This window comes from Homo sapiens, chromosome 11 (genome assembly GCF_000001405.40).
Source record: "Homo sapiens chromosome 11, GRCh38.p14 Primary Assembly".
Taxonomy (NCBI): Eukaryota; Metazoa; Chordata; class Mammalia; order Primates; family Hominidae; genus Homo; species Homo sapiens.
The window spans coordinates 36,746,030-36,766,199 of NC_000011.10; the positions used below are offsets into that span (position 1 = coordinate 36,746,030).

At 40.2% G+C, this 20,170-nt stretch overlaps 1 long non-coding RNA gene across 1 annotated transcript in view, besides 1 other annotated feature; it reads left to right on the top strand.

Annotated features, from left to right (window-relative positions):
- LOC107984326 (uncharacterized) overlaps window positions 1–20,170 on the top strand; it is a 162,012-nt gene that overhangs the window by 43,105 nt on the left and 98,737 nt on the right. The window lies entirely within an intron of this gene.
- Window positions 4,295–4,865: an enhancer, noted in NCBI's record as "OCT4-NANOG hESC enhancer chr11:36771874-36772444 (GRCh37/hg19 assembly coordinates)". NCBI's record gives its function as "activates a minimal SCP1, AML or CMV promoter by ChIP-STARR-seq in primed H9 embryonic stem cells {active_cell/tissue: H9 hESC(primed)}" and the evidence as "EXISTENCE:reporter gene assay evidence [ECO:0000049][PMID:30033119]".

Consider the following 20,170-nt stretch of genomic DNA (forward strand, 5'->3'; position numbering starts at 1 on the left):
TTAACTTATAAAGCATATTAACAATTTTCCCCTAATCTATTTTGTAAATATTTTCTTCTAAAATTTCACTTACCTTCATGTAAACTTCTTTGTTTTGCTATCAAGAATGCCATTCTTATTTTCCACTGATTCTTCTAATTGCAACATGGTATACCTCATTATAAAGCAATCGAATGATGTAGTGGCACATTCTCCATTTCCGATGGTCTAGACCAGTGCTACAATAGAACATGGAAGTGTCCCATATCTGTGCTGTTCTTTTTTTTGTTTTGTTTCGAGATGGAGTCTTGCTCTGTCACCCAGGCTGGAGTGCAGTGGCGTGATCTCGGCTCACTGCTACCTCTGCCTCCCTGGTTCAAGCGATTCTCCTGCCTCAGCCTCCTGAGTAGCTGGGATTACAGGTGCATGCAACCATGCCTGGCTAATATTTTGTATTTTTATAGAGACAGGGTTTCACCATGTTGGTCAGGCTGGTCTTGAACTCCTGACCTCGTGATCTGCCTGCCTCGGCCTTTCAAAGTGCTGGGATTACAGGTGTGAGCCACCATGCCCGGCCTCTGTTCTGTTCAATAATTAACTACAGGTCACTATTGAGCTAGTGTAACTGAGAAAGTAAATGTTTAATTTTATTTGATTTAAATTAGATTTGAGTAGCTTCTTGGGGTTAGTGGCCACTGCATTTTTCTGTTACTCTATTTTGCCCTCAGCTTAACGCTGGAAAACAGTTTCATATTAAGCTTGAGAGAGAGAGGAGATAAGACAGAGGAAAAAAGTCGAATGGCTGATCTGCTTGTCTGGACGTGGAATGAGAGTCAGGAAACTCTGATCTCAGGACCAGACTCCTTACTGACTATGGGATTTGGTAAATCATCATACCCTTCATCCTGGAAACAGAACTGACATCCTAACGCAGAGGCTGGGGTATGCATTTGGTGTTAGAAGGGCTGAGCTTGAGATATGGTTTCACTGCCAAGTGACACCATGAGGTCACAAATTTCCCTTCTATGGCTCCACTGTCCAGTGACTTTTACTTGTTGCTCTTTTACTTTTCTGTGGTTTAATATTCTACTTCCCAATTCAGATATTGAGAGAAAGTGTTAAATGGCTTTTGCTTGGTCTAGTCCTTTCCCTTTGATGCTATAATGCAAACAGCTTTATGGGCTCTCTGCTGGGTGCTGGGGAATGTTCTGGGCTGCCATCTGGAGGGCAACTGTTGAGGTGCACCTGGTCCCTCTGACTTGGGTGAAGAGGTGGAAGGTGACATACTGCCACCTAGTGTCCAAGTGTCCATAATGCCTAGGGACATTACAAGTCTTGATTAGTAACATACTATCCTGTAGTCTCCGAATAACTACGTGAGCTAGGCAGTGGTTACTGTGATATGAGTTTTGTGATTCTTATTTTACAGATGAGCGAATGGGTCCTAAAAGCCACATAGTCAGTGGAAGAGCTGATCCTGGAAACTGGCCCCACTGACTTCATCGTATCATGGTTTAGGTCCTGCAGTATGTGGCTGCCTGCTGTGCAAATGCATCAGATGCATACCCAGCTACGTACCTAATTGTTGAGGTGCCTCAAGTTGTGTGTGTGTGTGGAGGAGGGGGATAATGGGAAACAGTGGATGACTGAAGGCTGAATCTGCAGTTATAAAATGAAAGAAAATAATGAATATAATAAACGAAATTGGGATTATGGTATTTAAACATCTCATCAATCAGTCATCAAATGTTCAGCCTAGATCAGTAGAATTCCTGGATGCTTCAGTGAGATAGGTATTCAAGACCACTTCAGTGTGAATAGTCTAAACAATAATGCCAATGGCTTCCAAACGTCTACAGTGGTAGTTGCTGCTTTTGGGGTCTCATTTCCCCATTAGCACTGGACTGTGAAACAATGGCTTACATCTGTAAAGGGATCAATGCCTCTATTCAGAAATCACAGGAGCTCAACGCAGGAATAAAAAGTGATCTTTATTCCCAAGTGTCAACTCTAATTGATTGGCAGTGGCTTTTTGGAGAACTGGACTGCACTGAAAAGGACTTGAAGGGGTTTGGAGTAGGGAAATATGCCATTAACTGGTTAGTGATGTTTGCCAGAAGGACTAGGTTATGGAGTTTATTAGGGCAGGACTGGCTTATGCCTGTTGTATTTCCTGGTCTGTTCCAATACCTAGAATGGTGCCCAGCACATGGCACATAAATATTTGTGAAAGGAATGAGCATTGGAGGAGAGGAAATGATGCTATGAAAGCTAAGCGTTTGCCATCCCTGGTAGAGATCAGGGAAGAATGAGAAATCCTAGGAAGCCCTGCAGAATAGTCTTTTTAGGTGTTGGGTCTACTTCTTATCTCCAGCAAGTTGCTCCTAGATCCCTACCTTGTCCTTCCAAGCCAAGGGAGGAGCAGCAGCTGGAGGTGATATTACAAAGTGCCTTAAGGTACTCCTCACGTAAATCTGGTGCTTTGAATATTGATGCTGCAATTGTTTTGCTACTCCTTGCTTGCAAGCTCCCTGGTTCCTTGTTCTCTCTTTGCATTTTGGATTCCTCCAATCTCTCTGGCTCTTTAATATGACACTCCCTTTACTCTTACCTGATTACCCTGTTCCAGCCCACAGTGAGGCCTGACCACACTACTAGAAATAATAACAGCCATTTATTTAACAAATGTTTACTATGATCCAGGCGTTATACTTTATATATCATATGTCATTTAATCCTCACAAGTGCCTAACGGGATAATGACTTATTATTTGCTGATGAAGAAGCTGAAGCACTCAGACACCAACTTGCTTAAGGCCACACAGTGAGTAAATGGCAAAATTCAGGGCTTTCTGACTTCAGAGCCCATATGCTTGACCATTATATGATACTGTTTATGAGCTCACACTGAGCTGTTTGGTCTTGATCCATGGCTAGACTCTGATCTCTGAGAAAGTTATGAATGACCCTCCAAACCATGATACAGTCCCCCTTGTGCTGGTAAGTAATGCATCTACTCAGAGCTGACACATCTCCTTTTGTCGGCATGCGGAAGCCACTCTGGACAGCTCACAAACTGTAACCCCCCCTAGATTCTGTGCCTGTGCTAGAAATGCATCTGCTCAAACAACAGGCATCCCTGGCTTCCCAGCCCTCCTAAGCAGAAATTCAGTACTTAACAGCCTCTTCTAATCATACAGTGTGTCCAAGGACATCCTAAGTCATTATTATTGTGCTTTCCAGCAAATCTAATTAAATTCTTGTCTAATTGTTGCCTGTCAGTGCTTCAGTGTTCTCCTTCAGGAAGCCAATCAAGGGACTTTTGCACAATCACCTTTGGAAGTGAATTTCAGTTCTTACCAACTTTGGTAGCAAATTCCTCCTTATATCTAGTTCAGATTACTCTGGACTTTTAGGGCCAATTTTTCCTCATGTTACTTTGCTACAAAAAGGAATGCTACTGATCTTCACCTCCTTTTCATCCTTTATGGAGATAAAGATCTCAGCTTGCTTTCCTTTGCCAAATTTTTAAAATAAGAAATCTTTTTTTTTTTGCTTAATCTTTTATTTTAGAGTTGTGTATTGATTTTCTATGACTGCCATAACAAATTATTACAAACTCAGTGGCTCAAAATTTAGGTCAGGCATGGTTTCTTATGCCTGTAATACTAGTACTTTGGGAGGCTAAGGTGGGAGGATGGCTTGAGCCCAGGAGTTCGAGGCCAGTTTGGGTATTAAAGTGAGACCCTATCTCTTAAAAAAAAAATAGCCAGGCACAGGGGTATAGCTTCAGCTACTTGGTAGGCTGAGGTGGGAGGATCGCTTGAGCCCAAGAGTTTGAGGTTGCAGAGAGCTATGATCGCATCACTGCACTCCAGCCTAGGTGACAAAGCGAGACCATTTCAATTGGGGTTTGAGGTGATGATTCGAAATCTACTCCTGAAATAATGAAAGGTTGCATTTTATAAAATGTTCTCATTTTCAAGGTATTTCCAGTTTTCCCTACCTATGGTAGCAAAATATAGTGCTTAAGAAGCTTGGGTTTTTAACCCAGTTGGACCTGGTTTCAAATGGTGTTTCCACTACAAACTTACTGTGTAACTTAGGGCAAGTGGATTAGCTCCACTGAGACTCAGTTTCCTAATCTATAAAATGGTATTGATAATAACACTTGCCTACATTGATAAGGCATGTTTTGGTTTTGCACAAAACCAAAAAATTGAAATCAAATTATTTGAGCAATAAAGTCCAGGAGCCATAGTAGCGTAAGGCAGTGCTTGGTCTGGGATCTTGAGCCCGTTTTCTCATTCTTTACTTCTGTGCTCTGTGTCCTCATTAATGGCTCTCAACTTGGAAGGATATCTTCTGATGTGCCCAAAGTGTCTGCTGGCACATAATGGGGCCATGTGCTCCATGTTCAAGCTCTGCAGGAATGAAAGAGATGATCTCAACATTCATGGTGAATTACTGAGGTTTCTTCTGACTGTACTGCTGAGGTCTTGTCGGCCCAATCAGAGAACCAACCAGTCACTGTGGTGAGGAACAGAGGGTGTGTAAACTGATTAAGCCAATCAAGATCCACCCCTGGAACTGGGGTTGAGGTCATTGCCACAAAACCACATGAGGGCAAATGGCAATGAGGGGTTGCTTTTCATAGGGAAATTTAGAGCATTATCAGGAGAGAGGGGGAATGGATGCTGGGTAGCAAATAGCAGCAGGTGTGTCCAGTTGGCTCCTTCTCATGAGATAATGAATATAAAGTATTTATTACAATCCTTGGCATGTAAGAAATGCCCAGTAAATATTAGCTTATTTACTTATTATTTTTCTACCTCTTAAGTGCGTGTGTACTCTTAGAGTTGTGTTTTGGTTTTCTATGACTTCCATAACAAATGACTACAAACACACACTATATATGTGTGTGTGTGTGTGTGTGTATACACATACACTTAAGAGGTAGAAAAATAATAAGTAAATAAGCTAATTTTCTTCTACCTAAGTGTGTGTAGAAATAAATACAATAAATAAATTATTAAATAAAATAAGCTAATATTAGTGTTTTACCTCTTAAGTGTGTGTGCACACACACACACACACACATATATACATATACACACACCTAAGAAGTAGAAAATACACATTCCCACAAATGATATGTGTACATGTAGAAAAAGTAGAAAGTACAGATAAATAGAGCAAGCACCTTTTATTGCTTTTATTGACAGCATTCCTCTTGTGGGAAGAGGGCTCAGGACAGCCTTTTTGCTGATAGGAAACTGAGACCCTTAGTGGAAAGAAGACTTGCCAAAGTTCACTTAGTGGAAGGATGGAAGCCAGACCCTAGGCCCCTTGGCCCCCAGCCCAGCTGTCTTTTTCTCTTGATTGCCTTGCTTTCATTAGCTGTGCTGCCTTTTCCAGGTGCCTTTCTGGAGCTGGACTTGGCAGCTAAACTGACAATGATGTATGTCCCTAGGAGTCCCCAGGAAGGGGACTTTGGAGCCACTATAAACACGCGGGGTAAGGACAGCAGCTACATCTGGAAGCCTGCAGAAGCTTCCATTCCAGGAAGTGCTGTCTGCTACGCTGTCCCTGTGTGTACCCCTTTTGCTGTCATAGTCTGCTTCAAACCTGTCAAAACATGAAAAACTGCCTATTAGGAGGCCGCTTCCAGCTGTTCTGTTCTATGCTCACTTTATAGCAATTTCCTCCCACTTTCTCCAAATGTTTCCATTAGGGAGGGAAGGGTCCCCAATGTAAGATTGCTCCCTGATGTTAGCAGGACACAAAATAGCCAAATGTATGTCAGAAAGCTGAAATCAGTTATTGCTGACAACAGTAATAGTGGTGTCTGGAATATGACCTAGTTTATTGCTCAGCACCTGGTCTTAGTTGATAAATTTTTTTTGAGAGACCAACTGGTCATGTAGGCATCCAAAGCAAAAAACAGCAGTGTGGTTATGGTAGGTACAAGTTGAGAGAGAGATAGAGAGAGAGAGAGAGAGGGAGAAGGTGACAGGAGAGAGCACAGATATGCTGATTTATTACCGGTAACAATTGCTACCATTCATTAAGTGTCAGGCACTGGGATATGTGTTTTAAACACATGTTCTTGAACCTTTACAACAACCATACAAAATAAATATCTTTATCCCCGTTCCAGTGATTAGAAAACTAGGGCCCAGAGAGGCTAAGCAACTCACCCAAGGTCACACAGCTACTAAATGAAGAAGCCCAATTCGGACCCAATTCTGTCTGATTCTAGAGCTCTTTATACATTATGCTACTTCTTGTTTATCATATTCAGCTGGTGTCTTCTGGGTCACTTTCCCATGAAAGTACTACTAAAATGATTTCACACACACACTAACCAGTCATAGGCCTTGCTTCTCATTGGGATTAGTTTTGAGTAATGGAGGGTTCCTGTAATGGGAGTCTGGAGATGCTGAGGGGAAGGGCACGCATGCATGCTTGTGTGTGAATATTAATTGTGTCTTTCGTAGTTGCAGCCTAGATCTGTAAAAATGTTTTATTAACTGTGGTCCTATGTCTCTGCTGGCAACCCACCGTAATCCCGAGGCAACAGGCTAGAAAGTGACGAATGAGAATAATTTCTTGATCGATGGGGCTGTTCTTTGTGGATTTAAAAGGACCTTGTTAAAATGACAGAGGCTCATTTTCACACTGTATCTTCAATGTCTAGATAGAAAAACCCTAAAAAAATGAAACGTTCAAGATCCTTGGAGGATGGCCTCTAGAGCCAGTTTCTTTTCTGCCCCAGCACTCTAAGCCAGGCTGAGCCAGCAAAGCTCAAATCCTCAGCTGCTCACAAAATCCACTGGTGCCCGATGTAGTTCTGGACAGTTGTTCTGAAATGCCTCACCTGCCCTTTCCTTTTGCTGTCACGCATTGCTTGCAAATGTCTCCATCTCTGCTAAATAACCGTTTAGTGTTTAAACTCCTGGCATGTGCCTAGCATTGTCTCTCTCTCCTTTTGCTAATAGCTGCACTCAGTGTTGGGCCCTCTAGGGAAGTGGACAATGTAGCAATGTGCATGGAAGTTAAGACCCATCTTTGAAATTAATTTGAGGCACTGATCAAGACTTTATGCCTTAACATTTGTTTTTCTTTTCATCAGGCATCATGCCCAAATTTTTATTCTTAGCCATTTATTTATTTTAACTTTGAACAGCTTTAATATTTGGAGAAACTTACAATATTTACATAATCCTGAGAGGGCTGACACCTAAGAGACTCAGCCATGATGCTTTTGAGAACTCCCTAAGCACACAGCTTCTTGGGAATTGGATTTATTTTATCTTATTTTTTTATTTATTTTATTTTATTATTATTATACTTTAAGTTTTAGGGTACATGGGCACAATGTGCAGGTTAGTTACATACGTATACATGTGCCATGCTGGTGTGCTGCACCCATTAACTCATCACTTACATTAGGTATATCTCCTAATGCTATCCCTCCCCCCTCCCCCCACCCCACACCAGACCCCAGAGTGTGATGTTCCCCTTCCTGTGTCCATGTGTTCTCATTGTTCAATTCCCACCTATGAGTGAGAACATGCGGTGTTTGGTTTTTTGTCCTTGCAATAGTTTACTGAGAATGATGATCAGGTGTCTGGGACTGGGAAAAGGCACAAACAGGCATCAGGAGAGGAAGTAGAGGAAAAAGACAACAAAAGAGACAAATATCCATTTCTCAATTTTGCAGCGAGGTAACCCTTTCCCCAGCCAACAGTTAGAGGAAAGTTCCTGACCTAAGGATCCTGTGACACAGACCCTGAGCGACTATATGGCAAATGCTGCTTTTGACAGGCAAGGCCAATGCTTCTTCACAAAGAGGTTGCACAGTTCCATCCCTGTCAGAGTAGCATCTGGAAAATGCCAACGACAGCATCCTATATATCCTCTTCCTTCTAGCTGGATGGATCCCAGAGCTAGGTGCTCACACAGGCTGGACTAGCAACTTGGTGCAACGGGAAGGAAATAATCTTTTTGACGGAGTATGAGAGGATCAAATGAAGTGAAGGATGAGACACGTTGCTGAGTCCAGGTAGAGTGGGCTCCTTTGTGAGTAACTAAGGCTCCTTGCTGCCACAAGAAGTCAGACTCTGGGCAGCCCTCCAAACCCTGGTAAGGACTTTGATCTTTATCCTAAGGAAAACAGGAAGCCATGTAAGTGTTTGGATTAGAAGATTTTGGGGAGAGTGACATACATTCAAATCCACTCAGAATATCTTACAGGGATGGTGAGGCCTCAGTGCTGCCCGCGTTTTCTATACCCCATTGGTTAGTTTTGGTTGATGCGGGTATTTGTTCTGATAGAAAAGAAGAACAGATGCAGTTTTTAGGAGGCAGGAATCAGAGACAGAGAAGTAATGCTTTATATCAGTGCTTCCCAACACTTTTAACATCATTTAACATAGCACACATAATGATGATTACAATCCTATAGCATATTGGGGAAATGAAGAAGATTGCTCAGAGCCTAAGTAAGGGGCTCAACATCTGGGACACCTGGAAGCCCTTTGTAGCACAAAAGATGCCCTGATACTCTGGTTTAGAGGGCAGCAGGTAGATTTTAACCCTTTCACTGCTGCTCCCTTCTTTGGACTGCACCTCTCTTACCTGCCTTCATGGTCTCAATCCATCTCTCCACAGTCTCCTTGCTGCCTCCACGAGTGTGTCCATTCTAAACACAACGTGCTGCTTTTGATTTGCCAAGTGTCTGATGGGCTGTTGACGGAAGAGACAGGCTGAAGCCAGCCTTTCATCAATGTTGGTTGTAGAAGCTGAATTATGTCTCTGCCACATCTTTGACACCTCTCTGTTCTGCAACTCCTATTGGTGGGGAATTCCCTGTTTATGAGAGACCCATGGTTCAGCCATCTTTCAATTAAACTTATTAAGAAAACAGGCCTTTGCGTTCCACTTGAGGGAAAGGGCATCTGAATCTGGAGAGGCATTCGAGGCACGAGGAAACAGTTGGTTTGAATAAGGTCACAGATTAATTAGAATTGGGCTTCATTAAAGCTGCATGAGCACCTGGACAACTTTGCCAAGACAGGGGATCATCTGGGTATCTTTGAACAGTCCCTTTCTCTTCTGGGCACTTGTTCTCTGGTTTGGGCCTTGATTCCAGCTGCTGTGAGAGACTCCTGTGCCTGAACGTGTTTCCAAGTCAATTATGCAGGCTTCTCTGAGGCTGCTTAGTTTGGTTAGAGCGCTATTCTAATGAAGTCAAGGTCTGAAGTTTGCTCTCTGCATGGGCTTTAGTTTCAGTCTGCTCTGCAACCCTGATTACCTGTTTCCTAATATGAGGAGAGAACACACTGCTTAGGGAAGGAGTGGGTATAGGAATTGGGAGCATCTTGTTCCAGCCTTCTCACATTTCTTCCTGTTGAGGCAGGCATGGATCCAGGTACCACTTAAATTACAGAGGTGTTCAGCTAGTGCATCCCTGCAGGGTCCTGGGGGCTAGAACCTTGTGAATGAATTTGACTCTGATGAGAGCGCCAACAAGGCATGCCATGAAGTGGCCAAGCTCTTCTTTCTCTTCATCAAATCCCCTTTTCCACCTGCCTCCACTTGGAAAGTTAGTTGATAAACTAATTTATACTAATCTGCAATAACCAATAGTAACTAAACATGTGCCCTGTATTGATGAGTCAATGCATTGTTTCTAAATCAGTGATTTTCAAACCATTATGGAAGTGTGTTTAGGGTTGTGTGGGAGACTGACCATCCCAGTGTACGTGGAACTGGTGTTTTCCAGAGTATAGAACACACAGTGCTAAATCCTGGAAAGCCCTGGGCAAACCAGCATGAGGTGGTTAATCTAGGGATTTTAGGAGGGATGACTCTGCGTGTGTGTGTGTGTGTGTGTGTGTGTGTGTGTGTGGCAGGGTGAATAAGGTGAGGATGGCAGTACCCAGTGGTGGCTGAGAATGGGGTGCCTGCCTCTACTTCAGCCACAGAGGCAACATGTTTTATATATTTTATATTTTAAAGTTGGATGAAATTTTCATTGAAAAGCATTGGCAAAGCTGTTCTCTCAAAGAATTAAAGTCAAAAGGAATCTATCAGGAACCAGAGCAAGGGAGATGTCCAGGTGTAGAGAATTCCTGAAGTCCGCTTTTCACCAAGAAGACACCTGCTACTCTGCCAACATGAAAAGCAGGGTTTAGCTGTTGTCACAGCAGAGAAAGGAGGGCTTATCCTTGTATGGAGACTAAGAGGGAAGGGACTGTTTTGAGAGCACAATAATATTTGACATTATAATTTGTGCTTTTCCCTGTATTTTCTTCTTTCATTTCCTCATTGAAGCAAGAGTCCAGGCACTAAGTTTCCTTCCCTCAGGAGAGTTTGCATCAAGGTGCAAGGTGGAAGCAGAGGTTGCCTACAAAACACTTTTCTTCCTGGCTTAGGGAAGTGTCATCTAATCAGAGCTCAATGGTAGGAAGTAGAGGGAAGGAAGTAGGGGATGAAAGACTGAAGTTGTTATAACAGCAAGAGCCTAAAGAGATGGCAGGACCTCAGAAGACTAAGAGGGAAGGGACTGTTTTGAGAGCACAATAATATTTGACATTATAATTTGTGCTTTTCCCTGTATTTTCTTCTTTCATTTCCTCATTGAAGCAAGAGTCCAGGCACTAAGTTTCCTTCCCTCAGGAGAGTTTGCATCAAGGTGGAAGCAGAGGTTGCCTACAAAACACTTTTCTTCCTGGCTTAGGGAAGTGTCATCTAATCAGAGCTCAATGGTAGGAAGTAGAGGGAAGGAAGTAGGGGATGAAAGACTGAAGTTGTTATAACAGCAAGAGCCTAAAGAGATGGCAGGACCTCAGAAGACAATAGTATTTGTGCACATGGGAATTTGTCCAAATCACATTTCTATTATCTATCTATCTGTCTGTCTGTCTGTCTATCTATCTATCTATCATCTGTTGGTCTGTCTGTCTTCTATCTATCTAATCATATATCTAATCTATTGCTATCTCAAATGTAGTATGAAAGAATGAACTTGCCTTCCTCTGGAGGCTACTGGGACATCTGGCTGTTTTACTCATTCACTACAAAAGCCCAGTCTCCCAGGTCACCCATTGTTTTCATGGCCCTTAATGACTATGTAGTTCTGAGCTAGCCTGCATACTTCCATGCCTTTTCAAACCTTTCCTTCTATTATGCTTTTGAAACTCTCAGGTTACCATGAGCTAATGCTCCTATAATCCTCAACATTTTTGAGTGTTGTATTTTTACTCTAAAGGAAACAAGCTGTCCCCTGATGATATCACTGGCTCTGCAGACTTCTTATGTGATGCTTACATCTCCCATAAATCAGAGCCTGGAAGTAGAGAAAGAATGTGTCTTTCATATTTCCATTTGCAGTTTCCAAACTATTTCTTCTCTATTCTTAAAAAAACCCAAACCCTCCTTCCAGTCTTAAAATAGTAGAATAAGGAAGTGTTTCTGCTATTTACTTTAAGATTTAAGTAAAAAGAAGAAAAAAATAGAAAATGCAAGTTCCATCTTAAAAGAACATTAGGAGACATATGTAACTTGGAACCATAATATTTGAGGAAGGGATGTCAAAAACAATAAAAGTCAAATCATGGTTCTGCTATCAAGAGAATGTGTCAATGGCTGCTGATCTCAGACAAGACTTACAGAACACTTCTTCAAAGTTCGGAACATACCCTTAGGGGTGAAGCTTTGTTGTTTTAGCTGGAATTAAGTTCAAATGCATCTAACAGAACATCTAAAATAACAGAAGTTTGTCAGAAGACTAGAGATCTGTAGTCCATAGATGATTAGTGGCTCCACTGTTATCAAGAGATCAAGTTTTTTGCTTTTTGGCCTCATTGTTTCTTCTCTTTGGCTCCACCAAGAGATCAGATTTTCTGCTTTTTGGCCTCACCATTCTGGTGTGTGGCTTCCATCTTTAGAGTAACCTCCTCATCTAAGGGTTTGCTGGAGCATCAACCATCAAATCCATATTCTAGGCAGTAGAATGGGAAACAAGATCTTTCTCTGGCTTTCTGTCCTCTTTTAATAGAGATGTTCCAGAATTCCCCCACAATGTTATCCACAAAGAACCTTACTACATGGTCACAAAGAGCTGCAAAATAGTACAAGAAAAGCAATTTTTGAAGCTATTTGTATTGCTACATCCAATAATATAACAGTTCTGATAGAAGAAGAAAAGATAATGAATGTTAGTGGCAATTAGTGATCTTGGTCTTCTTCTTGTTTGGAACAGGGGGAATATGTGAGGACTAGTTACAGAAACTTTGTTAGGCCTCACTGGTAAAGAGGATGGCAGGCAGGCTTGAATGAGAAATTACACATATTGTCAGGAAGCAAACTGCAGATGAGGCAGGGTGGAAGAGAGAATCTATATTGTGAAAAGACCAGATGGCTACTGGTTACTGTTGACTGTCAGGAAGAAAAGTATAAAAAATTTAATTCGACTTACAGTTTTATGCAAAAAAGAGAACTCTTTCTAGTTTGACACGTGGTTCTTGATGCACACCCTAGGTATTTCCTACAAATATTTAGTTTAAAGACTCACCTCACTCAAGAATAACAGTGAAAATGGAATGACCACAGGATTTGTACAAAGATGCTAGAAGAAAAAATGGAAAAACGGGAATTAAAAAAAAATCCAGTGGCAGCTAAAGAATACTCATCAGAAAGATGTTGCCATGGAGAAATAAAAATTATGATTAAACGTATTACCTGTAGTGAAAAATAACATAATAAAGTAATTGCCACTGGAAAACAAAAATCAAAAGGTGAAATATCAGAAGGAGGAACTGCAGGAGCAGTCAGAGCTCAGAGCACACTTGGGGAAGAAAAATTAGTTCAACAAAGGAATGAACGCAAAACTGAAAATGATAGACATGGTTGAAAATAAGATAAGGGCAAGCAAAATGTAAATTCACTTGAGCATTTTTAAAAAGACCAGAACAAAAATAACATACCAAAGACAGACACAGGAAGTCCAAAATACCCATAATTGGTGTTAATGACGAAGGTAACCTAAATAAGAAAACGGAATCAATATATACAGATATGATTTAAGAAAGTTTTCAGAAATAAAAGAAAATTGCATCTATAGATAGAAAGGTCATATTATATCCCAGGAAAAATTGCCTTGTTAAGTAAAAAGAAAGCAAGGCATGGATTAGTATGAATGATAGATAGGCTATAATAAATACAAAATATTTATTTTTGCATGTATTAAATATCTCTGAAATAATCTCCAAAAACTGGCTACAGTGCTTGCCTCTAGGGAGGAGTATTTTTTTTCTTAATTGAGACTGCTACTTGCTTACCAAATATCCATTCTCTTGAACATCAAAATACAGAATTCTCACTTTGCTGTGTGATATCACCATCCTGATATTTACCACGTCTCTTCTAGCTTAAGTCAGTGGTTCCCAACTAGCAGATATCCCTCCCTTACCCTTTGGCACATCTGGCAATGTCTGGACATAGTTTAAGGTGTCACAACTAGTGGTGGGGTGTTTTGTTCTACTGGCGTTGGAAGGGATGCTAGCAGGGATTATGCTAAACATCCTATGGTTCAAAGGCCAGCTCATCACAGCATAGAATTATCCCATCTAAAATGTCCATAATGCTAACATTGAGAAACCCTGGCTTATGTTTGGATGTAAACAGATATAATGTGTGGAACTTTTGGGAATCTCTTTAGAAAAAAGAGGGCATGCCTTCTTCCTACTTCTTCAATCCTGCTGCTTAGGAAGTGGGTGTAATGTCTAGGTTTGAGCAGCCATTTTGGACCCTGAGGACAAGGGTCTTACCTGAAGGATGGTGCAGTAGGGAGCTGGAAGAGCCTAGGTCTTTGATGTATTACTTTCTTCTTTGCTTTATTCACTAATTTACCAAATATTTATTGCATATGACATATGGCATAGGCCTTTGCAGGCAATTGTAGGACTTTGGCTTTTACTCTTTGTGAGATGGGAAACCAGTGGAAAATTTTAAGCAGAAGAGAGACACAATCTGACTTAGCATTTTATAGGATCTCTCTGGCTGCTGGCAGGAACTAAATTGGGGGCTGAGGAAAAAAGGAAAAAGGAAGCACATGGACAGAATTACTGCAAAAAGTCTTACAATCAATGATGGTGGCTTAGACTGAGGTAATAACATGAAGGTGGTGAGAAGTTGTCTTATTCTGGATATATTTAGCAGGTTGGCCAGACAGGATTGATTTGTTAATGGATTAGATGTATAATCTAAAAGAGAAAGGAGTCAATGATTACTCTAAGGTTTTTTGTCTAGAGTGAAGGAAGGATGGGATTGCCAGGTATTGAGATGCGAAGACACAATAGAACCAATTTGGTTTTGGATAAGTTATATTAGAGATGCTCATTAGAAATATCAACTAGGCAATTGACTTATGAGTTGAACTATATGAAGTCACTCACTTTTGACCTATGAAAATAGCAATTTTGGATAGTTCAACCTATATAAGTCTGAAGTGTAGGAGAGAGTTCTGAGCTGGGTTTATAAATTTTGGAGTCATTGGCATTTAGATGTCCCTTGAAACCAGGACACTGGATGATGTCATCAAGGGCAGGCATGTAGATAGGCCTTGCTAAACCAAAGCAGCATGTTAATAGAATTGGCATCTCTACCAGACTGGGAAAACATTTTCCTGTGTTTCCTCAAACCCTGAGAGAGAATGATGAAACAACCCGGAGAGAATGAAACCCTGAGAGAGAATGATGACCAACATTGAACTTGTTTCAATTCATTTGTTTTCTGAGCATTTGCAAACATTTCTCTCTTTTTGTTTGATATGGTTTGGACCTGTGTCCCCACCCAAATCTCATGTTCAATAGTAATCCCCAGTGTTGGAGGTGGGGCATTGTGGGAGATGTTTGGATCATGGGAGCACATTTCTCATGAATGGTTTAGCACCATCCTCATTTGTACTGTCCTCACAATAGTGAGTGAGTTCTCATGAGATCTGGTCATTTAAAAGTGTGTAGCTCCTCCTCTCTCTCTCTCTCTCTCTCTCTCTCGATCCTGCTCTGGCCATGTGACATGCCTGTTCACCCTTCACCTTCCACTGTGATTGTAAGTTTCCTGAGGACTCCTCGGAAGCTGAGTGGATGCCAGCATCATGCTTCCTGTACAGCCTGCAGAACCATCATCCAATTAAACCAGTCTCAGGTATTTATTTACAGCAGTGTGAGAATGGACTAATACAGGGATCCCCACCTCAGGGCCATGGACAGGTACTAGCCTGTGGCATGTTAGGAACCAGGTCACACAGCATGAGGTGAGTGGCAGGTGAGTGAGTAAAGCTGAGCTCCGTCTCCATCAGATTAGCAGTGGCATTAGCTTCTCATAGGAGACTGAATGCTCTTGTGAACTGTGCATGCAAAGGATCTAAGTCGCATGCTTTTTTTGAGAATCTAATAATAAATGTAATGAGCTTGAATAATCCGGAAACCCGTCCTTTAACCTGTCCATGGAAAAATTGTCTTCCATGAAACCAGTCTCTGGTGCCAAAAAGGTTGGGGATCACTGGACTAATACAGTGTTCCTTCCCTCTTTTATCTACAGCATCACAACCTCTTTAAGGTTTTGATATCTTTCCATGTATATGTATAAGCATAACATATACATGGAAAAGTGTAAAGATCTTAAATGAATTTATGGTGAATTTTCACCAAAGTGAACATATGTGTCCGTAGCATTCATATCAAAAGCACATTTTTTCACTAGCATTTCGAAAACTTCCGTTATGCACCCCCTCATTCATCACTGTCCCTGCAAACATAATTGCCATCCTAACAATTAACACCATAATAGTTTTCCTTTGTATAAATTCTGCTATTTATGGATATTTCAGGGCATTTCTAGTTTTGGCAGTTATGAATAATGCTTTTATAATTATTCTTGTCAATGTCTTTGGATGAATATATTCATTTTTGTTGGCTATCTACCTAGGGGTGGAATTTCTACATCAGAGGATATGCATGTGTTCGGATTTGGTAGACAAAGTCAGTTTTCTCAAGGTAGTTGTATCAACGTATCTTTTAGCTAGCCATGTATGAGAGTTCTGAATACTCAACAACCTCACCAACACTTGGCGTATTCTGTGTTTTCCATTTTGGTTTTGGTATGCTTTTTTAATGACTTATAAAATTGAGCATTCCTTCATATGTATATTGGCCATTTTGATATCCTCTTTTGGGAAGTGCCTGTTCAATTATTTTGCCCATTTTTCTATTGGACTATCTGTCTCTTTCCTTATATATTCTGGATATGAGTCTTTTGTAAGATATATACATCTCGAATTTTTTCCCTACTCTGTCTTTTTATGAGAAAACTTCTTAATAGCATCCAGTTTATTAATTGTTTTTTATATTTAGTGTGTTTTTGTCCTATTTAAGACACATTTTCTTACCTCAAGTTTGTGAGATATTGTCTTTTGTTTTATTTTGAAAAACATATAATTTTACCTTTCATGTCATCACCTGCAACCTATCTGCAATTAACTTTTATGTACGGTGTGAGCTATAATTCAAGCTTCATGATTTTTTCTTTATGGATACTCGATTGATCCAGCATCATTTATTGAAAATACCACTCTTTCCCTATGGCACTGTGATGTCATCTTTGCCAAAAATTGTGTGAGTGTAGATATGGAATCTATTTCTATATTGTTTCATTGTTCTATTTTTTCTATCCTTGCACATGTATTACACTGTTAATGATTATAGTCTTAGAATGTCTTGGTATGATGTCTCAATGTCTTGTAGTATAAAGTCTTCCAGTTTTGTTCTTCTTTTTCATCATTCTAATGGCAATTCTTGGCCCTTTTTCAAGTAAATTAAAAAAATTAGATTGTACTTAAAAAAAGCTTCTGGGATTTAGATTTTGATATACATTGTATTGAATCTACAGATTGATTTGTGGATAAATTGCCATATTTACATTTTTGAGTCATGCAATTCATGAGACTGGTATATTCTTCAGTTTATTTAGGTTTTATTATTTTTTTTCAATATTTGGTAGTTTTCTTTGTAAAAGTCTTACATATATTTTGTTACATATTGTTTTTGGCATTTGATTCCTTTTATACTATTATAAAGTGTCTATTTGAGAATTTTAAACTCCTTGGCTTAATCTCTAGTACAGATTCTAAAATCTCAGACGGTAGGGATCTATTCATTCTTTTTTTTTTGATAGTGGCAGGAAGAAAAGGTGAGGGAGGGGGGAGAGAGAGAGAGAGAGAGGAGAAACAGAAAGCAATTTACCCAGCAGGATAAAATCTACAGTCATTTGGAAAATGGACTGAAATAATGCAGGCTCATGTGAAGGCACTTGAAACATCTCCATGGTGACCAGGCTGCAAAGTTCCACCCAATGGGTGTCTGTGATATTGCCATTGTGTCATTTAATATGGAGCTAGTTAGTTCTGCTAAGAGGGACAATGCAACTTCTCAGAACAACCTTCTAAGTGATAACCAGCTTTGAATGGTTTTTTTGGTTGTTGTTTGAGTTTTACTGCTTTTGGTTTCCCTTTCTGTTTGAGTTTTCCCACAAAACTCCCCATGATCAGGCTTTCTCCCTGTTGGTAAAATCATTCCAGCTTCAGAGGCAAATGCTTTTAACCCTCAGCAGAAGCCAGGGCCCTTCTCTGCTTCACACTGAAAACCTTTAAGAAGCAGTAAGGTTTCATAGTTTCTTCTCATTGTCTTCTTCACCCAGTTAATTATTCTTAATCTGTCAGGTAAAAATGGCAATATATATACTAGTCTGATTCTTTGAATACAAACATAACCTCAAACTTTAGAATTTGTGCCTTATTGTTCCTTGGCCAGATTCCCTGTGCAATGTTGCACAACAGGGAAAAATCAAGATGGATAATACAGTTTCCTAAAGGACCGGAGAAAAGAAGATGCTATTAATATTTAGGTGGTGATACAATAGATAGTTTCTCATGATGCTGAATAAGTTCTTGCTTTTGCTCATGAGTGTGGTAGATATATTAATTTTTGACTCCCAGCATCTAATCACCCTTTTCCTTAAACATCCTTCTCTGTTTCTCTTCTAGGAAACCACTTGACCCTCACTCTTAATCTATTTGCTTTGAATGCAGTTCACTGCAACCCTGGCTCCATAGGTAGGCATTTAACTGGCTTGGCTGACCAGAGATCTATATTCTCTTCACAGTGATTCCTTGAGGGATGGGTGTCAGTCCATTTTTCGCTGCTATAACAAAATACCTGAGACTAAGTAATTTACAGTGAACAGAAATTTATTTGGTGCATAGTTCTGGAGGCTGGAAAGTCCAATATCAAGGTGCTGACATCTTTCGAGGGCCTTCTTACTGCATCATCCCATGGAGGAAGGTGAGAAAGTGAGAGAAGGTGCGAGAATGCAGGAGAGACTGAACTCATCCTTTCATAAGGAATCCATTCCTTCAATAAAAATCTCACTTCTGTAATAACAAACCCACTCCTGCAATAATGACATTAATTCATTGATGAGGACAAAGCCCTCATGGCCCAACCACCTCTAACTAGGTCCCACTTCCTAACACTGTTGCCCCAGGGATTCAGTTTCCAACACATAACTTTGGAGGGCCCATTCAAACTGTAGTATTGGGCATGTTGCCCTGTCAGAGACTGTGGGACACAGTGAGGCATTTCTGGGAGTAGTGGTAGAGAAGCACATTCTCCTTTGTGTTAAACTTAAGACTCAGAAGTTTTATTCTGGAAATGAAGGCAGCTGCCATGTCATCAAGTAGAACCTTAGAATGAAGCCCATGTGTAGGAGGGCAGATGAAGAAATACCAGTAACTGATGTCCTTCTTTGAGCCCTTGAAGTTGAGATACCTCTAGACTTTTACACTTTGTGAACAAATGCATTTTTTTAGCTTAAATCAGTTCAGGGTTTATTTTGTGTCTGTTTATGTATGTTTATGTGTGACTATATTTACAATAAAAATGATTCTAACCTGTATAATGGCAGTGGATGAAAAGAGACTTAGTTGTAAAACAACTTTGTGTAGGATTCCTTTGCATGAGAAAAGGAGCTAAATTAATTATTGACCATATCATTTGGGGATGTTAAGGTTGCTAAAAATGTAACACAATGATTTTCAATTCAAATGTACCTGCAGTTTTAAAAAACAATGCCCAACCCCATTGCCCATTGCCATGTTAAGGCCCGAAGTTACATATAGGCCAGAAGTTACATATAGGCCCTTGTGCTGGTAGAAAAATATGCATAAAAATTTTCCACTCCATGCAGCAAGAAGGTGTGACAAAAGGAAATAGATTCTTGTTCTATTTTCCAATGTAATTGAATGTGATCTTGGACAGTTCTCTTTATCAAGGTAGGTCTCAATTTCCTTGTCAGAAAAATGAGGCTAATAATACCTGCCCTTTCTTTAGGTTATTGTGAAACACAAATGAGATGAATATAAAAATGTTTCAAGTAAGAATGTATTCAAATTTAATGTGTCATCATCATTATTATTTTTCATAAAAGAAAGATTCAAGAATGACTTTAAACATGTTGATGTTTCAAAGTCTCAGAAAAAAAAAGTAAAACCCGTGTATATAAAACTATTGAAGTGTTTACCTATATTTCTAATCCAGGTGTATGTTACCAAAGGAGATGTAAGTCATCAGGTTATGCAAACAAAATACAGTGGTTTTACAATCTTTTAGACACATTAAGGGCAGATTTCTCATCAAATTAATGGCCCACTTGAATAAGAAATTAAGTAACCAATAATATATTTTAGTAGGTCTTGTTGCCTACCTAAAATTCATCAACTCTTTTCAAATCTCATTTTTGTTTAGATTTCCATCCCATCCTTAGCTCCAGGAGGAACCCTGATTTCTAAACAGATAAGCACATGCCATTCTCATAACGAGAGTTACTAGTCCACGGATGCAGTCACGCTTTGAGCTGGCTCAATCAGACTGGAGGGAGAAGCTTATGTTCTCTCCTACTGAATGTGGTCAGGGAAGTGTGCAGCTCTGGTTGTCACTTGGAGCCATGCTTGCTGTGACAAAGGGAAGCAGCTCTCAGAGGAAGCTGCCACTGAGGAGTGCAGAAGGGAGTAGTAGAGACAACCTAGGATTTCATGGCATCATTATCTTTCTGGGCTTCCAGTTAC